Source organism: Homo sapiens, chromosome X (genome assembly GCF_000001405.40).
Source record: "Homo sapiens chromosome X, GRCh38.p14 Primary Assembly".
Classification (NCBI taxonomy): domain Eukaryota; kingdom Metazoa; phylum Chordata; class Mammalia; order Primates; family Hominidae; genus Homo; species Homo sapiens.
The window spans coordinates 20,009,891-20,034,937 of NC_000023.11; the positions used below are offsets into that span (position 1 = coordinate 20,009,891).

Consider the following 25,047-nt stretch of genomic DNA (forward strand, 5'->3'; position numbering starts at 1 on the left):
AGGCTGAGGCAAGGGGATCTCCTGAGCCCAGGAGTTTGAAGTCTCAGTGAGCTGTGATTGCGCCACTGCACACCAGCCTGGACAACAGAGTGAGATCACTTCTCTTGAAAACAAAAACAGAATCTGAAGTGGGAGGAGCAATTGGAATTATTAAATTATTAAAGGATTTGGTGACAGACTCTAATTATGTTTTCCTTATTCAAAAACAAGCCCCAAACTGAAGTAAATAAAATGTGAGGTATATGTAACTAAGTATACCTTACTACAGAGTGTATATAACTCATAGACATTCTTGCTCAAATGAGAATAGCTTCTGGAAGCACTTTGGCAAAAATAAAAAAAGGCCAAAGGTGGGGAAAAAACCTTCAAGACACAAAAACTGCAGTTCTCTCTCCCTCAGGTATGATCCAAGAATAGCTGTCTGCTTTGGAAGAATCCAGAATGGGTCAAGAGAATAGCAAATCCTGTGGCCCTGTATATGAATGATTCTAGATAGAATGTGGGATGTCACTGAGCAAAACTAGAGGTGGGGAAATTCATCTTATTCATATCACCTTGCAACACTACTAGAGTATTCTTTCCTTGCCCCCTAAAAAAGCTACTCAGGCTGGACTGGTAGTCAAACCTTTAGCCAGTGTTCTCAACTTTCCCATCTACACACCCTAAATAGCAGGGTTAGGACAAGGCGGCTCGGCGCTGAAGGCTCGCAGATGAATTAATTGAAATCTGTCTCAATTCTTGTGTGTGTTGTAGTATACCATAATATATTCATGTTTGCGTTTTTCAAATAAAATTTGACCATCCAAGAGGCTGAGTGATATACATCCTATCTTCACAAACCCCAGTTAAAGGGTTATGAAGTTAGAATATAATCAAAAGACTGTACCTTTTATTAAAGGGATGCTGTATTTGTCAACAGAAGGTGTTGAGAGGAGTTTCTTGGCCAGGACTGTTAAATCCTTCGATAAGGTTTTTGTTACAGTCGTCCAGGCTGAGATTTTCACTGGATCTCTTGGGGAATGTCGGGGGACCAGTGAAATCTAAGAGATCTTGAAGTGCTCGGGCATTACCAGTTCCATTTTGGTCCAGAGACACCCCAGGAATCATTTCACTCACTGGTGAAAATTCCGGGATAGAGATAAGCTCTTCTTTTGAAACAGGACTAGAAGAGATGAACGAGAGGGAGAGAGGCAGAAAGAGACAGACAGACAACATGGCACAATATATTAATTCTATTTGCAATATTTTGTTTTACTACTCTTCTAAAGAAGAAGGATTTAGAGTCAGAGTTTTTGTGTAACACACTGTAAAAAATACAAGTGGGCTCAAATCTGAGGAGGACAGATGGTGGACACGAGGCCCCATGTATGAGAACAGGGAAGCAGATTGAGCAGGGCTGTGATGGCCAAGGTCACATTGCCCAAAGGGTGAAAGGACAAAAACCCACAGGCACCAGCATTCTACCACAAAGAAGCAAGGCATTCCAGAACTTTCTAAATGGGACATTCAGACAGAAAGCCAATGCCAAAAGTTCAAAGCAAGTTGAAGAAGAACCCTAATTAACAGTGGGGCTCCCAGTGCTGCCTTTCTAGTAGTGCCACCTTGGGCGAATTGCTTTTCCTTCCTGCAGCCTCAGTTTCTTCGCCAGTAAAATGGGAACAATTGTTTCTCTCTGCCAGGGCTCCTGTGAGTGTGAATCTGATCGTGCTGAGAAGAGTTCATGTGGAAACGCCTGAAGTGCTCAGTTAAGGTTGGGGGGCCCATAATGAAAGGATCCCACCACAGCCCACGTCATCACTGGCAAAGCCAATCTCACGCTCTGCTTCCTCTCTAAAGTGAGGCTTCCAATCCACTCTGACTTATCCAGCTCCAGCCCAGCCAAGGCTGGTTTTCTTTCTCTCTCTCTCTTCCTCTCCCTAGAGATGGAAGGAGGAGTTTCATAATTGCGCCAGCTGTAAGGCCTAGCAAAGGAACAAATCCAGGCTCTGAAGAGTGGTGGGCTGAGGGCCTGTCACCAGGAATCTCTTAACAGCCAGAGTAAAGCTGCTGCCAGGTTCTTCTTTTTCTTCCTTGTGAGATCTTAGAGAAGAATCTAGAAAAACCAGAACTGCAGAAGCTCAGAGGAACTGTCTCTGGTGGAAATTCATCCTCCAGAGCTCCCATGGGGTCAGCTGAGAAGGCATCCTTGCTTAGCGAATTCCCTCCTTCCCCTTTCTCCTGAAAAACTCCCAAGAGCTTTCCTCTAACAAATCACATGCCCTAGAAACTCTGTTCCAGGCTCTGCTTCTAGGGAACCTGACGCAAGACACTAGAATGTTATACCACTGAGAGCTTTCCTGTAATGTCAATCAAACCTGCTTTAGGTGATTTGGTTGTATAAAAGACGAAGAAACCAACTAAAAGAAAGGGTAGTGTTTCGAGAAGTGATGAGGCTTAAATGCAAAAGAAATGAATATACCTCACATCCATAGACTGAACTTCTTCAGTTGAATCATCCAGGCTATTTGATTTCCCATCAAGGGCATCCAGATGAATGAGTCCCCCAGCTGGCTTAAGCCCATTAGAGAAAATGTCTTGGGGATAAGTTTCTGGGGCAGCGTGATCCACACCATTAACTTCCTGGCAGGTGTTCAATCCATTGATTTCTGATCGAGAACACAAAGTCCCTTGTGTTAATCATAAAATGTCTAAATAAAGTAACAGAGAAATATAGATCAAGGCAATTAATTTAATGCTCTGCTTCACTGATACTGCAGCATCTTTTGTGGAAAGAGCCACAAATAAACCCATATAATCACCTTCACACAGGAGAAGAGAAGACAAATCACATTATCAGTGTCTGTGCAGAACCTCTGGAGAAGAGCAGAGTCAGGTCCTAACAGTAATAAAACCTGACCAGCAGTTAAGCTCCCTGGAAAGCACTGTGAGCCAGCAGCCAGAGTGCCTCCTATGCTGGGATTATGGGAGTAACCAAGGAACCCAGTGGGTTCCCAAGTGGAGCTGACAGTCCCTGTGCTGGAGACACATTCCCAGGGAAGGGAAACTGCACAGGCCCCTGCCAGCAGTCACCCTCTTGGGATCCATGGGTCTGTTTACCCTACACCAAGTCTTACGAGCTTTTGCTACTAAAAGGAAGAACCCAAGAACCAGATGTCACACTCACCCATTTTGTTGGGGACAACCAGTTTTGTCTTCTTTTCCACACACACAGCAGGCTGGACCCCCACTTTGGGGTCTTCTTTCTGAAAACAAATGGAAGGTGAATGAAATGAGGGAAGGCTGACATCACACAGAAAAAAAGTACTTTTTAAAAGCATCCGATGATATTTTGAGCCTGGACCATCTGCCTGTTCTGTGGTAATTCTTTAAATCTTCAGCTGTGTTTCCCTTATTCTTACGTATTTTTATGTCAGGATTCTCTTTTTTATTCATGGACTACTATGCCTCTCTCTTCATCCCACCTCCCATGACTCTAAGGAAATCTCTTACCCATCCCACCTCTGAAGCCCCTCTTTCTTTTCAGGTACCTAACCCTCCTTAACCTAGCCAGGAACAAAGCAGGAAAACTGCATTTTTTTCTGGCTAATCGTCGCCAAGACCTACAATTTCACTGAGTGTATTCTGCTGTTCTTTTCTACTTAGTACATAAACTATTAAAATGGTCATTTGAATTCCTACCTTCACTTGTGGAGACACATCACTTTTCCTTGTTCTCTTCATGATTTCATCTATTCTCTAAAAACAAAAAACAAAAAACAAAATCAAGTAAGAGGACAATAAGACCAAAAACATAAAAGTAGCTTGGTTTACATGCAATGTCACATTTCTCAGAAAACTTGTAAAAGGCAAAAGTCAGAAGAGGATAACAAGTATAGAAAGGTTTTCCACTAGTTTTGGAGATGTACACCTCCGGCCCCATGGACAAGGTCAAATGCTTGAGAAGTTAACTAGTACGTATCTAGAATCAATATTCGATTTATATCCCATATTTCTCCTTCTTCTCCTTAGGCTCTGTATAAATCAACAAATTACCACCTGCCATTAAAGAGCACCACCCTACAGAAAGTGAGGCTGAGGCTGAGGTGCATCTCAGGAGAGAAGGCCACAGGCTGGTCTCCTGGATCCCAGGCCTACAGCAATACAAAGCCCAGGTTGGGCCTAGGACACCATGAGAATACTCCTTTATAATCAGTCTGCTTAAACCCAATTTTACCCATAAGTATAGTTAGTGTAAATGGACTAAACACTCCAATTAAAAGACAAAGACTGTCAAACAGAATTAAAATAACAATTCCTGGCTATATGCTCTTTACTTATAAAAACACACAGAAGAAGTTTTAAGTAGAAGGGTGAAAAAGATTTGACATACAGACACTAATCATAAAAGGGCTGTCAGGCCAAGCACAGTGGCTCACGTCTATAATCCCAGCACTTTGGAAGGCCGAGGCAGGAGGATCCCTTGAGTCCAGGAGTTCGAGACCAGCCTGGCCAACATGGTGAAATCCCATCTCTACTAAAAATACAAAAATTAGCCAGGTGTGGTGGTGTGCGCCTGTAATCCCAGCTAGTTGGGAGGCTGAGGCAGGAGAATCGCTTGAACCTGGGAGGTGGAGGTTGTGGTGAGCCGAGATCACACCACTGCACTCCAGCATGGGCAATAGAGTGAGACTGTCTCAAAAAAATAAAAGGCAGGGGGCTGTCAAAGTAGACTTTAAGACAAGAAATATCACTAGAGACAAAGGCATATCACGATAAATATATATAAAACAAAACCTGACAGAACTGAAAGGAAAAATGGACAAATCCATAATCACAGATGGAGTTATTCTTTTTTCTATTATTTGGGACAGGGTCTCACTCCTGTTCCCCAGGCTGGACTGCAGTGGCATGATCTCGGCTCACTGCAGGCTTAACTTCCCGAGTTCAGGTCATCTTCCCACCTCAACCTCCTACGTAGCTGGGACTACAGACACATGCCATCACACCCAGCTATTTTTTGTATTTTTAGTAGAGACAGGGTTTCACTGTATTACTCAAGCTGGTCTGGAACTTCTGGGCTCAAGTGATCCTCCCGCCTCTGCCTCCCTAAATGCTGGGATTACAGGTGTGAGCCACCATGCCTCGCTACAGATGGAGTTTTTAACAATCTTTCTCAATCACTGATGGAACGAGATGGCAAAAAACTAATAAAGACATAAAAGATTTGAACAGTGGTATCAATGAACTTGACCTAACTGACAATCCTAGGATCATTCTATCCAATCACTGCAGAAGAGAACTGGATTTACTTCCTGTTCACTTACCCTAGGTCTTCCTGACCCTCAGCCCTTACCTTCTTTCTCTCCAGTCTCTCCTGCTCAATCTGCAGCATAATCTGTTCTCTCTCGAGACGCATCTGTTCAGCTACCTCCCGGGCCTTTGTTTCTGCTGCTTCTTTCTAACAGAAACAGGTAAATCAAGGCAAAGCTTTAATAAGCTAAGAAAACAGTGTGGTAATTCCCTGGCTTTGCACATGTTCCTTCATCTCATCATCTGCCCTAAAGTGGATGCTGCTCCAATATTCAATGTGGATTTATACAAACCACTGCATGACACAGCAAACATGGTTGGACCTCATTCATATACCCCTGGCTCACCATGCAAATCACCTGCAGACAGTTCTCACACATGGCCAAGGCTTTTCTGTGTCTGTGGGCAGGCTTGGGCCATGAAGTGTGCATGTGGCCAGATCAGAGAGTTAATTCCCCAGGGAGTGACCTTCTACTACCGTGAAGGGCAGGATGTGGTAGATAAGTAGTTCAGTTTCCTCATCCCTCAGCTGGACAATTCTAAAGCATGATCCACAGTCTGTCAGAGGTTCCCAATGGGACTGTGTTCCAGTCACCCACAGTAACACATGCATCAATGCACTTACATTGGCTTTTCTCCTATTCCTCTACCAGCTTCCTGGGATTCGCTTGCAAAAAAAACTGCTGGCACTCAAATTCTTAGCCCAGGGTTTGCCTTTGGGGAAACCCTAACTCACAGATGGCAAACATTACCAACTTCACTGCAACTGCCCCAACTTATATTTAATAACCAGCCCAGACAGTTTAAGAAGAAACTTCAAGTAAACATTATGAGTCATTGAAATTTAACTAATTGTACCTACTATCAAGGTCCTTAAAAAACAAGTAAAGTCCATCTGAGGACTCATACAGTACCTGCTTTTCAATCATGGCTTTCTCTTGTTTTTCTTGTTCTTGCTTTTCTTTCAACAACAGCTCCTCCTCAGCCTTCCGCTTGGCCTCCTCGCCTGCCTTTCTTTTCTCTTCCCCTTCCTGTTTTTTCTTTTCCTCTTCCTGCCGCTTCCTTTCTTCTTCCTGCTTTCGGGCTTCCTCTTCTAGGCGAAGCCTTTCCTCCTCTGCCTTTCTTTTCAATTCCTCTCTCTCCAGCCTTTTGAGAATACAACTGTTGTTAGAAGATGACATGCTCGAAAAGCAAACTGCCAGAGAACTGTGTGCTGACAGCCGAGAATAATGCTCCACATGGTAACACACACACATACCTTTCAACGAGCATTCATTTAATAACATGATTCATCCTTCCTGGAAATCCACTCTGGTCCATATATTTACCAAAAAGTATTAACCAGGCTTGACTTTAAATTCTGTAATACAGCAATGAATGATGTGTTGATGTGTAACGCATACTGTATTGAAAACAGATGCTCCTCAGTCAATGAACAAATGACCACGGTGACAGAAAGCCAAGCCATCATTCTTATTGAATGACAATTCTTTTAAAACCTAAGCAGAATATTTAAAACCAATGAAAGCTAGGAAAAATGGGAAGTGTCTCAATGGCCACAAATGTGCCAGTCAGCAATTTAAGAGCAGTGACTACGAACTCAAAAAGTCATACCAATTTGGTTCTAATTGGTATGTGACTTATGAAGCAGCAAATGGAAGAAAATGCTCAACAGAAACTTGACATTTAATAAATTAAAACCTCTATTTCCATTTATTTTGGCAATCTTTAGAAATCTATTTTAGCTTTCTTTGCTATATGAAAATTAAGTGGCATTTAGACATTTTCATCCACAGTCAGATGAATGGTTCATGGTGTAATGGTAAAGAGCTCGAAGCAGTAAGGGAAAATCCTGTAAAGTCCAAGAGCTTGTTTTAACCTTTCTAATGTTCCTCCTCCTCACATGTACGTCACTTTCCTTGGGTAATCACTGGCAATGTGATGTATGGGCATGACTCAAATTGTACTCTGATTATGCCACTCACTGTGTGACACCTGGAAAGTCACTCAATGTTCTTGATGCCCATTTAAAAAATGGGAAAAGCTATACTATTGTTCTATGGCTTTACTGTGAGAATGAAAATGCCTGGCCCTAGAAGGTTCTCAAACGTTAGTTTGTTTTACAATTTAAAATGAATCCTCTCTCCAAGCCCCAATGTCCTTTAAAGTGCACCTATAAATCTGTATGTCCTTTAGAAATTACCTTCATTTGGAAGCATGTGCCAATGACTTACTGGGATGCTGTTGTTATAAAAAGGTCAAGACTTAAAAAGAGCATCCATCCATCCTAATGGTCAGCTTCAGAACTTGTGCAGGCTAACAGCCTATGTATGACCAAAGGAAATATTTTGTTTATTCATTCAAAGAAATATTTTAAAAGAAAGATAAACAAATACTTAAATATATTAGCCTGAGACTGTAACAATACGTGATAACACTAAATTAGGTCACAATGCCTATAAACCATTGTGAAACAACTCAAATTATTAACAGATATTCTGGAGAGGAGCATTATAGAACCTATCAGAAAGAAGCTCCCATTTTCTTAGATTCCTCAATGAAATACTATGTCCAACACAGGATTATCCAAAATGGATGTGTTAATAACAAGATGTATCTAAAGGTTAACTGAAGTACCATTTCATTTCTTACCCTTTATTAACGAGCCAATTATGATTGTCCCAGAGAAGTTAACACACAAAGGATACATTGTGTATTAATTAATGTATAAGCTACTTCATAAAGGACCTGCCGTCTTCATCTCCAGGACCTGAAAATCCATTCTCTTTTTTTTTTTTTTTTTTTTGATGGCGTTTCACTGTTGTTGCCCAGGTTGGAGTGCAATGGTGCAACCTTGGCTCACCACAACCTCTGCCTCCCAGGTGCAAGTGATTCTCCTGCCTCAGCCTCCCAACTAGCTGGGATTACAGGTATGCGCCACCATGTCTGGCTAATTTTGTATTTTTAGTAGAGACGGGGTTTCACCATGTTGGTCAGGCTGGTCTCAAACTCCTGACCTCAGGTGATCTGCCTGCCTCGGCCTCCCAAAGTGCTAGGATTATAGGCATGAGCCGCTGCACTTGGCCTCTGTTTCTTGTTTTTTACCATCAGGACTTCAGAAGTGCCCAGATGCACACATGTAAGAACATCCTTATGGCCCCTGAACCTCCATAATCCTCATTATCACCCAAAATATAAATCCCCACAAGCCCATGAGACCCCGCTTGTCCTTTCCATAGCACCTCCAGGGAAATCTTGTCCTTTTTTTTTTTTTTTTTTTTGAGATGGAGTCTCACTCTGTTGCCCAGGCTGGAGTACAGTGGTGTGATCTTGGCTCACTACAACCTCTGCCTCCTGGGTTCAAGTGATTCTTGTGCCTCAGCCTCCCAAGTAGCCGGGACTACAGGCATGCGCCGCTATGCCCAGCTAATTTTTGTAGTTTTAGTAGAGATGGGGTTTCACCATGTTGGCCAGGCTGGTCTCGAACTCCTGACCTCAAGTGATCTGCCTGCCTTGGCCTCCCAAAGTGCTGGGATTACAGGTTTGAGCCACTGTGCCCAGCCCCTTCATCCTCTTATATACCAAGTTCTCTCCCTTAACCACACTTTGCTTCCCTAAAGTAGGTAAAATTCAACAAAACAAACAACCCTGGCTTCCCCTGTGTGAAACCAGGTCCCTCACAATCCTCTCCGAGGATGAGCATTCCTTCTGTCTCTGCTCAAAGAACCAGACAGCACATTAGATTTCATCATTTTCCCCACCGCCCTCTGCCGTGGGCTACCCCGAGCCTACCGCCCTTGCCGTCATTACTAAACCTCCAAAGTTCATCAGCTCTGTGTGTAGTCCTTTTTTTTTTTTCTTTGTAGAGGCAGGGTTTCGTGCTGTTGCCCAAGTTGGAGTGCAGTGCTGCCATCACAGCTTACTGCAGCCCCAACCTCTCAGGCTCAAGCGATCCTCCCACCTCAGCTCCCAAGTAGCCAGGACCACGGGTGAGTGCCACCATGCCTGGATCATTTTTGAATTTTTTTTTAATAGAGACAGGTCTCATTTTGTTGCCCAGGCTGGTCTCAAACTCCTGGGCTCAAGTGATCCGCCCACCCCATTCTCCCAAAGCACTGGGATTACAGGTGTGAGCCAGTGCCTGGCCCTGTGTGTAGTCCTGTCACCCTCTCCATCCTTGTTCTTGTCATTCACCCAAGTCCCTCTCCCTTTCCTCACTATGTACAAAGTACCAGAAAACTGTGCATTACTGTCATCATTTGGCATTCAGTGGATGCATCATCCCTTGTCCCTGTCACTGGCCATTTGAGGAGGATCTTCATATATTGGCTCCTGTCTGTTGGAAACTCCAGCACCTCGCCCCCTTTTCTGTCGCTCCCTGTTAACCTTCCTCATGTCACTGACACAAACTTAAACTTGAATTGTTCAATCTGAGGGACGAGTATGTGGGTTTCACTGGTCTCTATTCTTACGTGCTTAAAAGTTTTCATTTTAAAACAAGCCTAACCTTCAACATTAATCTTCTTTGATCTGATCACACCCCATCCTTCTGCCTTTTTCTCTCCTGACCTGCCCTGGTTAGCGCTGTGCAGTCTACTTGCGTCTGCTTCCCTCTCTCTCAGTGTTCCCCAGGCCTTAGGTACCCTTGTGAGCATTTCAGAGATGGCATGGAGGTCACTCTGCTGCCCAACTCCAGGCTTGGGTGGTTTCCAGGACCACTCCTGGGCTGCCAATCACTGGTTAGAGAGAGGTGTAAACGAGGCTGGCTGGTTATCTGCCTGCTGGCAATTGCATTCCGGCCTTTTAATCCTCATCCCCTGGATCCCTTATGGACACAGTCCCAATTACCACTTTTCTCAATCTTCGTCATCTTCCTTAGTTGATGCTTATCACCAACTGCTATACAGAGAAGACTGAGGCCACCTGATCTGAGCTTCTTAAACTCTCCTCTATGACATTACTGCTCAGAAATGTCCCCATTTGTTCCTCTGCTTAGATGGAAATGCCACCACTTGTGCTGTGAATTCCACATCCTCCACAGCTATGTGTCCCTCCCACTAGCCCCTCTTCCCTTCATTTGTCAGTTTCAACCTTCTGCATGCATGTTTTCCATGCCCTGGAAAAATGCTCATGTCTCGGGAATCACAAGCAACCCTCCTCAGTCCTCTCTCAGCTGCTTCTCATTCATGACTGCTTAACAGCCAGCTTATATTCTGGGCCTGTATCCACTCATCTCTTCAGGCTGCTTTGTCTCTATCCTACTTCTCAACAATTTCCCTCCAAAATCTCTTTTCATCTCCTAAATCCCAAGACCAACAGCCTTCGTCTTTGATAAGCCTATGTCTTATCAAAAGTCCTGCCCATGTGGCTCTCCCTACAGCCCTGTGCTACATAAGGCTGCATGACCCTGGCTCTCTCCTACCTCTCTTGGCTTTCCCTTCCTGCCTCAGCTGCTGCTACATCCTGCTGCCCCACATCGCATGTGCCCCCACCTGCCCTAGCTCTCACCAAAACCACCTGCCACCTGTAGGCTCAGCAGCAAAAAGCCAGGTCTGAGCAGCCTCGAAGACCTCTGCCTGTGGTTCCTGGCCTGGGCTAACTCTTGCTTCGACAAGAAACTTTAGCCTGCCTACGTGACCTTGCTCGTAGGGAGCTGTCTAACTGGAATATTCTCTTTCCTTCAATTTTTTAAAAAGATGGGGTCTCTCTACGTTGCCCAGGCTCAACTCGAACTCCTGGCCTCTAGTGATCCTCCCACCTCAGCCTTTCAAGTAGCTGGGACTACAGGTACAAGCCATTGCGTCTGGCTGGAATATTCTTTCATGTGAACCCCTAGTAGCTATTTTAGCTTTTTAACATGACTTAAAGTGATCCGTCTAGGAATCCCATTAAGATCTCCTGCTTACTAGTTCCTGCCAGTGCCTTCCCCAGGGTGGACCCGGCGTCTAAGGTTTCCTGCCCCACCTCTAAGAATCTCACTTTATATCTTGGGCCATCCACAGCCTGGGGGCTGGGCCCTGTTGTGTTTGGGAATGGACCAACTTTTGTTCTTCTGCTTAGGGCCTGCTTGTCTGGACTCCTGGTTGGCCCTTCTGTTCTGGTTCCCCCATCCTTGACTTGGATGGTGTTTCCCTTACCAGTTTGTGACAATAATTGGGCTTTCCACGGTTTGACTCAAGTAACTTTATTTTTCTCTAAATTATTTTATCTGGCAACATTTCTGTGGCTTTAACTATTAACTGTAAACATAAAACAGATGTGAGGATGATCTTATTCCAAGAGGTGGCCGCTGTGTTCCAGCCCCAGGTTGTCTGGTACTTTCCTTCCTCACTCCTCACCTCCCACGTGGCACTATGCAAAGCTTCACATTCTGGCAAGAGAGAGGAAAACTCATTTGGGGTCGAGTGTATTGCTCTAATTTTTACCTACACCCCCAACCTTCAATTCCATCTCCAATCATCTGGACGTACTGTAGACACCATAACCTCACCTAAAATCAAATGAATAATTTTTATCTTTTAAAACCAATTCCTTATGTCCTTTCTTTACCTGTTATTGGGTGTACCATTCTCCTAAGACCTTAGAATCAAACCTCAGCATCAACTTCAAATCTGCCCATTTCTTTGGCATTGTGTAAGTCCACAGAGACTGGCTTTTGCATGTCTGCCTTCACCATACTACTTTAGCCCTTCTGTTCTCTTAACCTACTACTACGATGGTTTCTTAGTCAGGATTCTTCCTCCTTCTGTTCCTTTCTTGTACATTTACTGAGCGCCAGGCACCAGTGATCCAAAGACTATGTCCCAGCCTTTTAAGGTGCTAACTGGGGAAAGGAGGCCTGTAAACAAATGAAGCTATGTTAGTCAACTGAACAGCTGGGCTCAGTATGGGTGAAGAGTGGGGGGTGGTCAGTTCTGTCCCAGGCACAGGGCCAGAAAAGGTACAGGGAGGGAGCAAGACTTGACCTGCATTTTGAGAAATGAAGAGGTGTCTGGCAGGAAGGAGCACAAGTCCACGTGGGGGCAAAGTAAAAGCACAGCTTTGGAGGTGTGGAGCCGTGTGATGGGTGAATGTCAGGGAGCTTTGCACACTGGTGTCTGGAGGAAAGCAAGGAGTAAGAGGCAGGTAGTGGTCAGTTCACGGCAGGCCTTGAAGGCCTGTTGACAGGTTCGGGTGGATCCAGTGGGCAGGGGAGTCACTGGCTTGTTAAAGGACAGGAGAACAATCACATTTATTTGAGAAAGGTCAGTGTGGGCCCAGCGTGGACAGGGGACAAACTCTAGGAGACCTAGAGCAGGGAGCTCAGTTGGGATATAACAGATACAGTCCAGGTGAGAAGCGATGGGGGCTGGAGCTGAGGAAGGAGAGGAGGGACGGGAAGGGAAGGGAGAGAACAGAGATGCCAATGTGACAGCTGATGAAGACTGGACCTGACAACCATTGGGAAGAAGAAGGAAAGGAAAGAGCTGAGAGTAGCACTGAGACTTTTCACTTGGGTGTCTGAGGAGATGGGAACACAGAGCTCATGAAAGAGAAGGGAAGTTTGGGGAAAAAATACTAAGTTCTGCTTTGGAAATGCTGGATTTGAGATGTATATGGGACACACTCAAACGAAAACTTATTGCAGCTGGAAATACAGTCTCTAGGTTCTAGACCAGTGCTATCCAATAGAACCTTCTGTTGAGTAGGAAAACAATCTATAGATTTGTGCTGCCCAATGTGGTGTGGATCCACATCTACTCAGATGCAGCTCTTGAGCACGGAAATGTGGCGGGTGTGGCTGGGGAAATGAATTTTACTGAATGTATATTTTGGTGGCCACATGTGCCTAGAGGGTCTGATAGTGGACAATGCAGCCCTAGACAGAGCTTGGGCCACAGGCATAGTTTTAGGAGTCATCAGTACACATGTGTTATTAGTGCCTCCCTTGTTCCAGAAAGTATGGAAGGTTTAGAAAGCAAGCTGCAGTTAGCTTCAGAAACGGACAATAAAACAAGACAAAGGGAAAATGAAGGTGGGAAGTGAGATGAGAGCAGAGCTGGTTTAGCACAACAAAGGCTCAACAGAAAGCTGTTGTGTAAAATGTGGGCCCTAAATCTTTTGACGCCATAGGAAACTGGCAGGATGGCAGGGACACTGGCAGAACAGGCGGGAGCAGTGCTGTTCGGGAGAGCTTGTTGGGAGAGAAGCTGGTCCAGGACTAAGGGCTGAAAGCCCAGGCAACATTTAAGGGGATGAGGGGCAGACAGAGGAGGCTATGAAGGAGAGGCCAGAGAAGCAAGGGCAAGCTTGACAAGGCCAAAGCCAACCAAGAAACTGATTAGTAGTTAGGCAACGAGGAGGAGTGGTAGGTGTGAGGTTTGAAGACTGAATGTGAGTTGAGAAAATAAAGACAGAATGTTCAATCAAGTCTTTCAGGAGCTGGGCTGTGAAGAAAATGGGAGATACAGACGGTGGTAGCTGGAAAGTAAAGAACATCACCTTCTTTAGCACACGACTACGATCATGTTACTCACCAGCTCAGAGCCTACATGGTATCTCCATGGCCTGCAATTATCAAGGCCTGTCATCTGAGGTCCTGTGATTCATCTTTATCTCTTGTGACCTCCCTTCACACACCTTAAGGCCCACCCAAACCAGCCCAAACATGCCACTCGACAAAACAAACAAACAAACAAACAAAACACGTCTGTATTGACCAAAATGTTGGAAACAGGAAAACAATCAAAGAAGTCCCAAATTTCAAGAAGGGACTGTCGAGACCTACCCCACTGTCCCTTTTAAAAAATAGATCAGCAAACCTGTAATCAGAGACCACAAAGACTTACCAAGGTCACTAAAGGATCAATAATATTCTATTATTTATTACTCTAAATTCGGTGCTGGCCTTGAAGTGCTACAGCATTGCCTGCTTCCTGTCATGATAATTCTCTAAACAGTATTGGATTGTACTCTGTGATGAGCCTAACGGCTTCCTTTATCAATTTAATGATAAAATCGACCTTGTCCTTCAACATGCTTTCCTCTCTAAATAAAAAGATCAGAAAAGGAAGGTCTGTCTGTATTGTGACAAAGTACCCTGGTACTAACATCACAGTGGTTCTCAAACCCTGGCAAGCTACTAAAACAGAACAGGGCTGAGTCCATGTGTTTTTACTGCATTCCCCGGATGATTCTGATGCTCTTCAAGGTGTAGGGACCACTGCAATGATGTCTTTTGTCTTGCTCCCAGATGGGACTCCCCATACCTCACTGTTCTTAGACTATGCGGTTGCCCCTACACACAACCCTATGCCTAGGGGACACTGCTCAACCCTCCCCTCTGTCTCTCACTTTGGGGTGTGAGTTAGGATAATTTGACGGAGGAAACAATTTGGAAATCAGAATCAAGACCAAAACCAGAATCTTGAACCTCTTGTTTTCCCAGGGAGAATCTCATTTTTTAAACAAAGTTCAGACTTCCCTGATAGCTCTAGGAGGCCTGCCTGGCCCCAAAGTCCAAGAGGAGAATGGGAAGATGCCTGTGCCATTTAGATCCAAGAGCTATGAGTTTCCAGGTCCTCCGAAAAGAACAAAGTTCCATTGTTATTAATAATTACATCTAATATAAGACTCAGTCTCCTGAACACCTTCCATGTAGTTCAGACATTCTAGGTTCCCATACTTCTGTTCAAGTTTTATCAATACCAACGCTGTAAAAAGAAAGGCAAGCTGCTCTTTCCAACACAACAGTTACATGAGATCACACCGAAATTCTGAGCACTAGCATACCTATCTTGTTCTTCCTTCTCCAGTCGTTCTTGCTCCTCCTGTTCCTTCTGCAGCCGGGCCTGTCTTCTCTTTTCAGCCAAGATCTTCGCAGCCTCTCCTGCATCAGTGGTGCCTGCTGTGGGCTTCCCCAAGGCTGCACCAGAGGAGAGGCATCAAGAGGAAAAGATCAAGGGAAACGAATATAATGATTCCACTCACACAGCAGCTGCCAGTTGGAAGTGAAAAAAAATCCAACCCAGTGTGGTGATGGGAAATGCCGTCCAGACTAGCACAATCGACCACCAAGCAAGAGAAGCTGTCATGGGCTGGCTGGAACCCTGGACGCATTTTACAGTGGAAGACAATAGAAACATGAGGAGGAAAGACAAGGTCACTAGCAAGTGCCACAGCAGCCACCATCTGGGTGAACTCACTGCATCATAGAAGCCTGAAAGTCTAAAGGAAGATCTTCTTTTGCGTGAGGTGCAGATGCAGGCCTGTTTTACTCAGCATCCCCGTGAGCTTCCACAGCCATGAGTGGAGTCAGCCTCTAGATTTCCTCCAGGGGACCCTCAGAAGACTGAAGGAAAGAACTCAGGAGCAACGTGCAAACCCAAGAAAGCTGCACGAGGGGATGCACTTGTCCCCAGAGAAAAATCCCTTTCCCTCCCCAAAACATGAGAGAATGGCACGTGGATTGGGTCTGAGGAGAACCGTCTTGGGAAAGCCAAGGCACGGTGGCAGCATCTACCTGCGCTGTTTTCGGCTTTCCCTCCTGCGGCAGCAGCATGCTTCTCGCTGGCATGCTTGTCCACTACATGCTTCTCTAGGGCTTCCTCTCCTTGCGGGCCAGCAGCCTGCTGAGCCAAGGTACCTTCCCTTTCCTTGTTGCTCTTCTCTTTCTCCGCTTTCCTCTTGGGCATGTCTTGGCCAGAAAGGGCAGGTAAGCGGTACTTCACAGGAGACCCTGGGTAGGGAGGTTTCGTTGTCTTTGGAGACTGTGGATAAGCTTTAGTAGCTGTCCTGGAAAACAAAAAATATGCCAGAGGATGATTACTGGGCCTGAACACAGAGCTCTCTGTTCCTAAGACACCTAGTTCCAACAAGCTGAACAATTTCATCCTTCCAGAGGAAGGAAAATAGGGCTTAGCACACACTCAAAAGTCACTAAAGTGCTCTCAGCCCAACAGGAATATACGGTCTCTCTAAGACGGCCCTGGTGGAAAGGGAAACATTTTAAGAAGCCCAGCTGATGATGCCATGTCCTAATCTCACTTAGGTTTCATGACAATGTAAAGATGGAGTATTAGGCACTTCCCTACTCCCTCTTTTTAGGTGAACATCAGGGTTGAATCTGGTTTCAGCATATGGCAATGAACATGCTGGCTCCTTTTAAAAAAATTGTGACAAAACATATATAACACCAAATTTACCATTTTAACCATTTTTAAGTGTACAGTTCAGTGGCGTTCAACTCTCCATTCCCCTCCCCTCAGCCCCTGGCAATCACCCTTCTACTTCCTGTCTCTGTGAATGTGCCTCTTCCAGGTGACTCGTATAAATGGAATGACACAGTATTTGTCCTTTTATGTCTGGCTTATTTTACTTAGCAAGTCTTCAAGGTTCCCCATTTCTTTTTAAATGCCAAGGAACACAGCCAAGAGATGGGGATGGGGGGTGTTTTTTGGAGGGTCTCAGGTTTAAAAGAATCTCTCTTCTCCCAACTGGGCAGATGCAAAAGGTGAGGACAAGCCACTTGGTTAAAACACAGGAGCTCGTCTTATGTCTGCTGGGAAAGGGTCCGTTACAGGTACGCCAGCCTAGGCTGGGCTCCTGGTGAGTGCTGCTTGTTCAGGACAGGGGTAACAGCTTAGCTTGAGATGCCCAGTTTCCCTAGAGGTTTGAACAGGGATGTGGGCATTTGTACAGAGTTCCTCTAGGAAGGATATAAAGTAATGTATACAGAAATTACAAGTCATCACCCTCAATCCTCAGCAGGTTGAACCATGAATTGCTAATATCTGACTTTTTTGATCTATAAAAACAGCAATAAAAATGGCAAATCACCCTGATATTCAAAGACGATTTTTCACCAGAGGCTTAGAGTTACCAAATCAGATCCTGCTAATAAGGGGAAATATGATCAGATCAATATTAAACTTGGTCTTGAAGGAGAAAAGAATCCTCAAGTGGCATGTGGACTTTCATATTGGCCAAGTGGCTTCCCTGTGTCCTCATGCCATTAGGCCTGGAGCAACTCAGAACTCCCAAGACACCTTGTCTTTGTGGATGGTGCTTCGACTCTCTGCAGACTATTCTCCCCTCTGGCCTTGGGCTCAGGCCCCACACTCGGGTTCTCCTAAGGGATGTGGTTTTTCAGAGTGCTTAGCAATCAGGTGGTTTTTTCCAGGTACACTATATAACGCTGATCTTCTATTTTTTCCTAGACTTTTACCAAATAAAAGCCATGCAGAGAATCCCCCTGCCCCGCCATACATATACGCCCGCAGAGCAGGCTTCCTCAACCTGGCATCACTGACATTTGGGGCTGGATAGTGCTTTGTTGTGGGGTTGTCCTGGGCACTGTGGGATGTTTAGCAGCATCCCTGGCCTCCATTCACTAGATGCCAGCAGCAGTCCGCTCCCCACGCAGGTTATGACAACCAAAAATGCCTTCAGACATTGCTAAACGTCCCCTTAGGGACAAGATCTCCCTCAACTGAGAATCCCTGAGACATGGGGTAGGGCGGGGAGGGAGAGAGGGAGAGAGAAAGAGAGGGAGAGAGGGAGAGAGAAAGAGAGGGAGAGAGGGAGAGAGAAGGCGGGGGGAGAGAGAGAGAGAGAGAGAGAGAGAGAGAGAGACAGAGACAGACAGAGACAGAGACAGATGCACACACACTCTGTCTGTACCCAGTAGGTAAGAGTGGAGCTGTTCTGCTTGGAGGGGTAGTGTCCAATCCCCATGGTGACCTTGAGGCTCCTGAGAGCCTTGGCTTGAGAGGTAATGTGTGAGTGCCTCTACGATTCAGCACGTTGAGTCCTCATGTGTTCTGACACAGTCAGACCAGGTCCTTACCCTGGCCATTTGGAGCTCAGACCTCCATTCACACTCTCTGCAGTTGTGTCCATGTTTACTGAGTGCTGTCTACACACCAGCCACTAGGCTGCTAAATGTCTACAGACACATATTTGTGTACATATGTGTGTAAATGGTATGACACAGGTACTATTATCATGGCCTCTTTACAGATGAGAAAACTAGGCTTAGAGAGGTGAAATGGCTTCCCACAGTGAACTAAGCCACAGAGCCTTCTTACAGCTCTGCTCTACTTCCTGTGTTGCCAGCGCAGCTAAGTCTGAGTTTGGGGTCACCAAGACCCCAAGATGTTCTTTATAGAACTGGCATAGAGTAGGCACTCAATAGCTGTTAGGTATTGGTGTTGATCAATTAGATGATAAACTAAAAATCCAAATAATCCTCACAGACAAGAATGAACCAAAACCAGGAAGATGAACTGTAATAACAGGGGAGCCCATGTCCTGCTTGCTCACACTGACAGTGCTCCATTGAGCATGGTTTTCCAATGAGTTACACAATGTGTACTAACTGTACACATTAGCTGAGCCTGCATTTAGTCTCAGTTAATATGTATAAAGATACAGCTGGTGGTCTTTTGCTTGGCCACGTCTTCCTTTCACGCTGTTATCTAAGGTGAGTGGCGCCCACAGTAGAGCTGTATACCCGCCACCCAACCACCACGAGGGTGTCTCAAAAGACTTGGTCTAGTGCCTTGCCAAGATCAAAGCACATTATCTCTCCACTGGATTGTCACGTGAATGATATGTGTCCTTTGATCCAACAACAGTACAAGGGCAGGGAGTGGATTTGAAACTTGGCGATAGAGGCTGTAGGAAAGACTATCTCGTGGTAGATGATAACAGATGGAAACACTTTCTCATCCCATAAGCATTCCTACCTTGACCTGTTGAGGAGGACTTTCTGGCATTGGAAGGCCTGGCAAATCTCACCTGATCTTCTTGCTTGCCCTCACCCTCCTCCCCGTGGAATGAGGTACGATTTCTCTGATTGGTGAGAATGAGCAAAGCTGCTGGGTGTGCACAACCCTGCCTGTTCTTGTTCTCTCCCTGGAACTGGCCTGCGAGCCCACACTCTGGGCTTCTCTAAGCAGTATAGAAAGAGTTGGGCTCTGCTTCGGGGGTCCCTGAAGTGTGCTGGCACTTCTGCCCATGAATGGGTAGGCAGACAAGAAGCCTTCCTGCAGACATGACTCCGACCACAAGGGTCTCCAGGGCTGGACTGGGGGGAGTGGGTGGGAGGCCTGAACTGGCTGCAGCCTCAGCAGCCATAGCCAGCATCTGAGTTCCAGCACAACCTCTGTGTCTGCTTAAATGGCTCACACACTCAGTCAGTGTGGCAGGAGCCTGTTGGCTATGTCAGACCCATCTAAGTAAATGGAAATGCAGGACAAGATCCTAATCCTAGGGAGAAAAGGCCAGGGTGGCCTAGGTGGGGGAGGTTCTGACAGCCTCAAGTTGGCATAGCCCTGAACAGCCTTGCTTGTTTTAAGAGAATGGTCACATGTAGGTTCAGTTCACGCCACAGACTGCGAGGTTCCATTCTAAATAAAACTGGACCAATTACCCATGAGCACACATTTAAAAATAACTTCTACCTGAGAAGTAAGGGTGGATTCTTTGGGATAAAGCTCATTAAGAAGTCTGTTTACAGTCCCCGACCCCAGCCCCTGCCCAATAAACAGAGTAAGTTAGAAAACACACACACTTGTATGCACACACAAACATGACCTTCAAATTAGAAAAGTGTGGGCAAGTCATAGATTTTTTTTTTTTTTACAGTGAGTGAACAAAATACAGAATTAAAAAAAAGAAGTTCCCAATGTTATCTACAATCTGTCAAGTTTCCTGCTCATCCTGCTTTGCCACTTGCTTACATGGACTTTGTACCCTGTCAGCTGCCCTGCAAAAGTGCTAAGCACAGGTATCCGGAAGAAACTAAACCACAAGGCTGGTATGTCAGACTGCACGGCTCTCTGGCCAGCCCTGCTCACATTGCTGAAAGCCAAAGAAAGTCTGGCAAGCTATTTTTCAATTTCCTGGAAATAGGTATTTTGGCTGATTTAAGAAATATGAATTAATTAGGGGAACTCACTGTGCTTGTATGGAGGTTTATTCTGAAGTACCTTCTCATCTATTTAACAAGGGTCTATTTGATTGCCACAGTAATCCAGTGAGGTACGTAGGAAATTGCTATTAACCATATTTTACAGAAGAAAACCAAAGTCCTAAGAGTTTAAACAACCTTTCCCAAAGAAATGCAAACAGACAAGAGTACCAGGGCTGGCACTCAAGGCATTTGTTCATTGTCTCACTTTTTTAGCTCTTCCACTTTAATTTTTTAAGGTCCAATAAAAATATAACAAAGGGGATTCACAAGGTGTGTTTAGGATGGTAAACTAGACCTTCTAGGAACATAAGGCAGTATGATATAACCTTTTAGGTTCCATGACTGGCAGAAAATACGAACAAACACCTCTGTAAACACAGTGGCAAGAATAACTCTCTGGAGAGGGTTGTCATGCCTCTGAATGTGAGTTGACTGCAAAGTGGAACCCCCAAAAGACTTTTTTCCTCCAATCTTGGAATCTAGTTCCATGTTCTCCAAAACCACTTGACTCCATGCACAGTGAGTGAACACGGCCCACTCACTGCATGGGAGGGGTCTTGGCTTCATCAGCACAGCTCAGCCAACATTCAGAAAAGTTTGTTACTTCCTAGATAAGAAAGAGCAGCAGTTTTATACCGGAGAAACCTGGGAACACCACCTTAATCCAGTAATCAAAGTTAATATCACCAGTAATTAAACAAACTGACATCATAGCCTCCTGATAAGAGGTACTGAGAAGGACCCAACACCTCTGCCACGAGATTCCTGCCCAAAGAACACAACCTGAATGCAATCAGAGGAAACGTCAGGCCTATCCAAACTGAAGGCAGTCCTCAAGACGACTAGCCTATATTCTTTAAAAATGTCAAGGTCAGCCGGGTGCAGTGGCTCACGCCTGTAATCCCAGCACTTTGGGAGGCTGAGGCGGGTGGATCACGAGGTCAGGAGATCGAGACCATCCTGGCTAACATGGTGAAACCCCGTCTCTACTAAAAATACAAAAAATTAGCCGGGTGTGGTGGCATGTGCCTGTAGTCCCAGCTACTCGGGAGGCTGAGGCAGGAGAATCACTTGAACCCGGGAGGCGGAGGTTGCAGTGAGCCGAGATTGCACCACTGCACTCCAGCCTCAGTGACAGAGGGAGTCACCATCTCGAAAAATAAAATAAAATAAAATAAAATAAAATAAAATAAAATAAAATAAAATAATGTCAAGGTCAGGAAAAAGAATGGCTGAGGAACTGTTTCAGTTGAAAGAAGACTAAGAAGGTGAGACAATTAAATGCAATGTGGGACCCTGGGTTGGACCCTGGACCATGAAAAAAAAAATGATATAAAAAATCTTATTGGGCCAGACCTGGTGGCTCATGCCTGTACTCCCAGTACAAAGGAGAGGGCGAGGCAGGCAGATCACTTGAGGTCAGGAGTTTGAGACCAGCCTGGCCAACATGGTGAAACCCCATCTCTAATAAAAACACAAAAATTAGCCAGGTATGGTGGTGTGCCCCTGTAATCCCAGCTACTCGGGAGGCTGAGGCAGGAGAATCACTTGAACCTGGGAGGCGGAGGTTGCAGTAAGCCGAGATCACAGCACGGCACTCCAGCATGGGCCACAGAGCAAGAGTCTGTCTCAAAAAAACCCAGAATCTTACTGGGACACCTGGCAAAAGTTGCACATACATTAGAAATTAAGTAACAGTACCAAGTTAAACTTTCTGATTTCCATAACAATGGAAAATAATGTCTTCGTTCTTAGGGGCAAAGGGGTATGATGTCTGCAAGTTACTCTCAAACGGTTCTGGGAGAAATCTGGGTATGTATGTCTGTGTGTGCATCTATGGAGGATGAATGTGAGAGACTGTGCAAGACTGAGTGAGGGTGATAGGGGATGGGAAGGATGACAGAAATGTGGCTACACATTAATACAGGATAAAAGGTGGGGAAGAAAGAGTTCTGTGTTCTAGTCTTGTGATTCTTTTGCAAGGTTGAAATGATTTCGAAATTTAAAAGCTGAAAAAATTGGTCTAAATTCAAATGATCCTCTGATAAGACTCAAAAATACAGGACTGAGTGAGTATATAGATATGGCTGCAAGGAGGGGACATCACTTGACATTTTCAATTACCCTCTTCAGGAAGAATTTCAGGTAAGAATGTAAAAGCCTACTAGAGAATGATGTGGTGGCAAAAACAGCAGTTAAGTCGCCCTTGTGGGAGCCTAGTGTGCTGTAGATGCTTATCTGTGGGAGAGGATAACCAAGCCACACATCTCCCAGAGAAGCTTATGGGAAGGGCACTTGGCCAGGATCCATTAAATGTCCTCAGCCACCAAAGGGATAGCCTGGGTCTGGGAGGGAGCCTTCCACGGGCCTGTGATTTGGAGTAAAGTGGGAGGTACTTGTTTTGGGCCATCCAGACACCTTTATCCTAATTTTTTCCCTCATATGGAATATGTTTTGTTTTCAACACATGATAAAGTGAAATTAAACTAGGTCCCTGAAACAAAACTGATCTCAGCTATGATCTACCTCTGGAAGTGATTATCTTTGGCACACTGAATTTTCCAAAGTTGGCCACAATAATATCTCCCATCCCACAAGATCTTATCTTTTGAGTTTATCTCTCCATCCCATTGAATCTAGGTTGGCCCGACTGCTTTGACCTATAAAATACAGCAGACAAGTAAGGCTGTGCCAATTGAGAGCATAGTCCTTCACTGGCCTGACAGCTTCCGCTTCCTGACCCAAAAGATGCTCAATCTTGGGGCCATTTCTTGTTGGAACCCAGTCACTGTGAGAAGCCTAAGCCATACAGAGAAGCCATAGTAGGCACTCTGGTTTGACAGACTCAGCTGAGCTCCCAGCCAATAGCCATCATCAACTGCCAGGTAGGAAAATGGCCCATCTTGAACCTTCAGCTCATCTGAGCTCTAGGTAACTGCAGCTCCAGTCAACACTGGACTGCAATGGCATGGAAGACCCTGAGTAACCCAAGTCAACCCACAGAGCAACTGCACAAAAGATCCAAAGAGAGAACCTCCCAGTAAGCCCAAGTCACAGAACTGTGAAAATGAATAATAAATTACTGTTTAAGCAACTCAATTTTGGGGGCTTTGTAACAGCAGTAATAGATAGCTGAAATATTACCTATCGTAATGACCAAACTGACTTAGAATATATTTCTAAGAATATAAAACCATTAGAGAATATTTCACACTGAAGACCTGGAAGTACAGGCAGCATCAACACTCAAGAGGTAGAGATGGGCTGGACAAATCCACTTGGCCACACTGGATTTCTTTTCTCTAGGTTATGGGAACAAAGCTATGCTCCATCTATGTCTTTCAGAGTGTTGTTGAATCTAGTTTTCTAAAACCCATGCAAGTACCCAATGATGAAAACAATAAAAATAAACTTGAACGCTTAAAAGAGCAATGCTATTAACATGCACAGCCACCCAACAGTGGCTTAGTTTATCTGACATCAGGCAGGAGAACAATGCACTGTCAGAGCTTAGGAGGTCACAGGAAAAGGTATCATTAATCACATGACCTGCCTGGGATTCTGGATGGGTGAGTTCATAGGGCTAATTAAGCCCCTTTTCAAAGCCACATCATTTCCAGTGCGTTTTAAAAATCACACACTTGGTCTGCACAGAAGGAATGTCAAAAATACCAGTTTTGGTGGGGGTTTGTTTTGTGTGTGGCATCATTCTAAAAATCAAGTAAGTCTTTTTTATTATGTTTTTCCAACAATGAGTATGCAAGAGAATATTTACAAAACTTGTAAGGTATAAAGAATGATATAAATGGCCGGGCGCGGTGGCTCACACCTGTAATCACAGCACTTTGGGAGGCCAAGGCGGGTGGATCACTTGAGGTCAGGAGTTCAAAACCGGCCTGGCCAATATAGTGAAACCCTGTCTCTACTAAATATACAAAAATTAGCCAGACGTGGTGGTGCATGCCTGTAATCCCAGCTATTTGGGAGGCTGAGGCAGGAAAATTGCTTGAACCTGCCAGGCAAAGGTTGCTGTGAGCAGAGACTGAGCCACTGCACTCCAGACTGGGCGACAGAGTGAGACCCTGTCTCCAAAAAAAAAAAAAAAAAAAAAAAAAAACAGAATGATATAACTGGCCAGGTGCAGTGGCTCGCACCTGTAACCTGAGCACTTTGGGAGGCAGGGGCAGGTGGGTCATTTGAGCTCAGGAGTGAACAAAGGGCAAAGTCCTTGAGCAGGTTTGGTCTCAACATTTTCCCTATCTGCCAGGTGACCCTGCCCTTGCCCCCCAGCTTCTCCTTCCCTTCTTAGTTGCATCCCATACCACTGCTATGTCTGAATGTTTCTGTCTCCTCAAAACATGTGAGTTGAAACCCTAACCCCATGGTGGTGGTATTAGGAGGTGGGGCCTTTGGGAGGTGATTAGGTCATGAAGGTGGAATCCTCCTGAATGGCATCAGTGCCCTTATAAAAGAGACCCCAGAGAGCTCCCTTGCGCCCCTTCCATCATGTGAGGACACACTGAGAAGATGGTTGTTCATGAATCAAGAAATGGGCCCTCAATTGACACTGACTCTGGCCATACCTTGATCATGGACTTCCCAGCCTCCGGAACTGTGAGAAATACATCTCTGTTGTTTATAAGCCAGTCAGTTTAGCAGCCAAACAGACTAACACACACACATACTGAGCACCTACTGTGCAACAATAAATCAAGACAGTTCCCAACCTCATAGCAGTCTAGCAGGAGATTGCTAAGTATAAAATACTAACACCAAGCAATGAGGCATAGACCAACCCCGCC

General features: G+C 45.1%; 1 protein-coding gene and 1 non-coding gene across 24 annotated transcripts in view; both read right to left on the reverse strand.

Annotated features, from left to right (window-relative positions):
- The window catches only part of MAP7D2 (MAP7 domain containing 2), a 110,195-nt gene that overhangs the window by 3,178 nt on the left and 81,970 nt on the right, over positions 1 to 25,047 (reverse strand). For 18 of the 23 annotated variants that reach the window (NM_001168466.2, XM_005274480.4, NM_152780.4 and 15 more), the window contains 8 exons: positions 15,791 to 16,062; positions 15,061 to 15,193; positions 6,204 to 6,435; positions 5,333 to 5,437; positions 3,679 to 3,735; positions 3,164 to 3,242; positions 2,459 to 2,645; positions 887 to 1,162 (listed from right to left, as the gene is read on the reverse strand). In NM_001168466.2, the coding sequence (NP_001161938.1) occupies positions 913 to 1,162; positions 2,459 to 2,645; positions 3,164 to 3,242; positions 3,679 to 3,735; positions 5,333 to 5,437; positions 6,204 to 6,435; positions 15,061 to 15,193; positions 15,791 to 16,062 (1,315 nt within the window). In that variant the 3' untranslated portion in view covers positions 887 to 912. Of the gene's footprint in view, positions 1 to 886; positions 1,163 to 2,458; positions 2,646 to 3,163; positions 3,243 to 3,678; positions 3,736 to 5,332; positions 5,438 to 6,203; positions 6,436 to 11,457; positions 11,660 to 15,060; positions 15,194 to 15,790; positions 16,063 to 25,047 lie in introns of those variants that run through there. The other 5 variants (XM_017029398.3, XM_047441985.1, XM_024452362.2 and 2 more) reach the window with 1 other exon arrangement.
- Positions 7,198 to 7,297, reverse strand: MIR23C (microRNA 23c). Its single transcript, NR_037414.1, has one exon. It is a non-coding gene; the product is annotated as a microRNA 23c (primary transcript).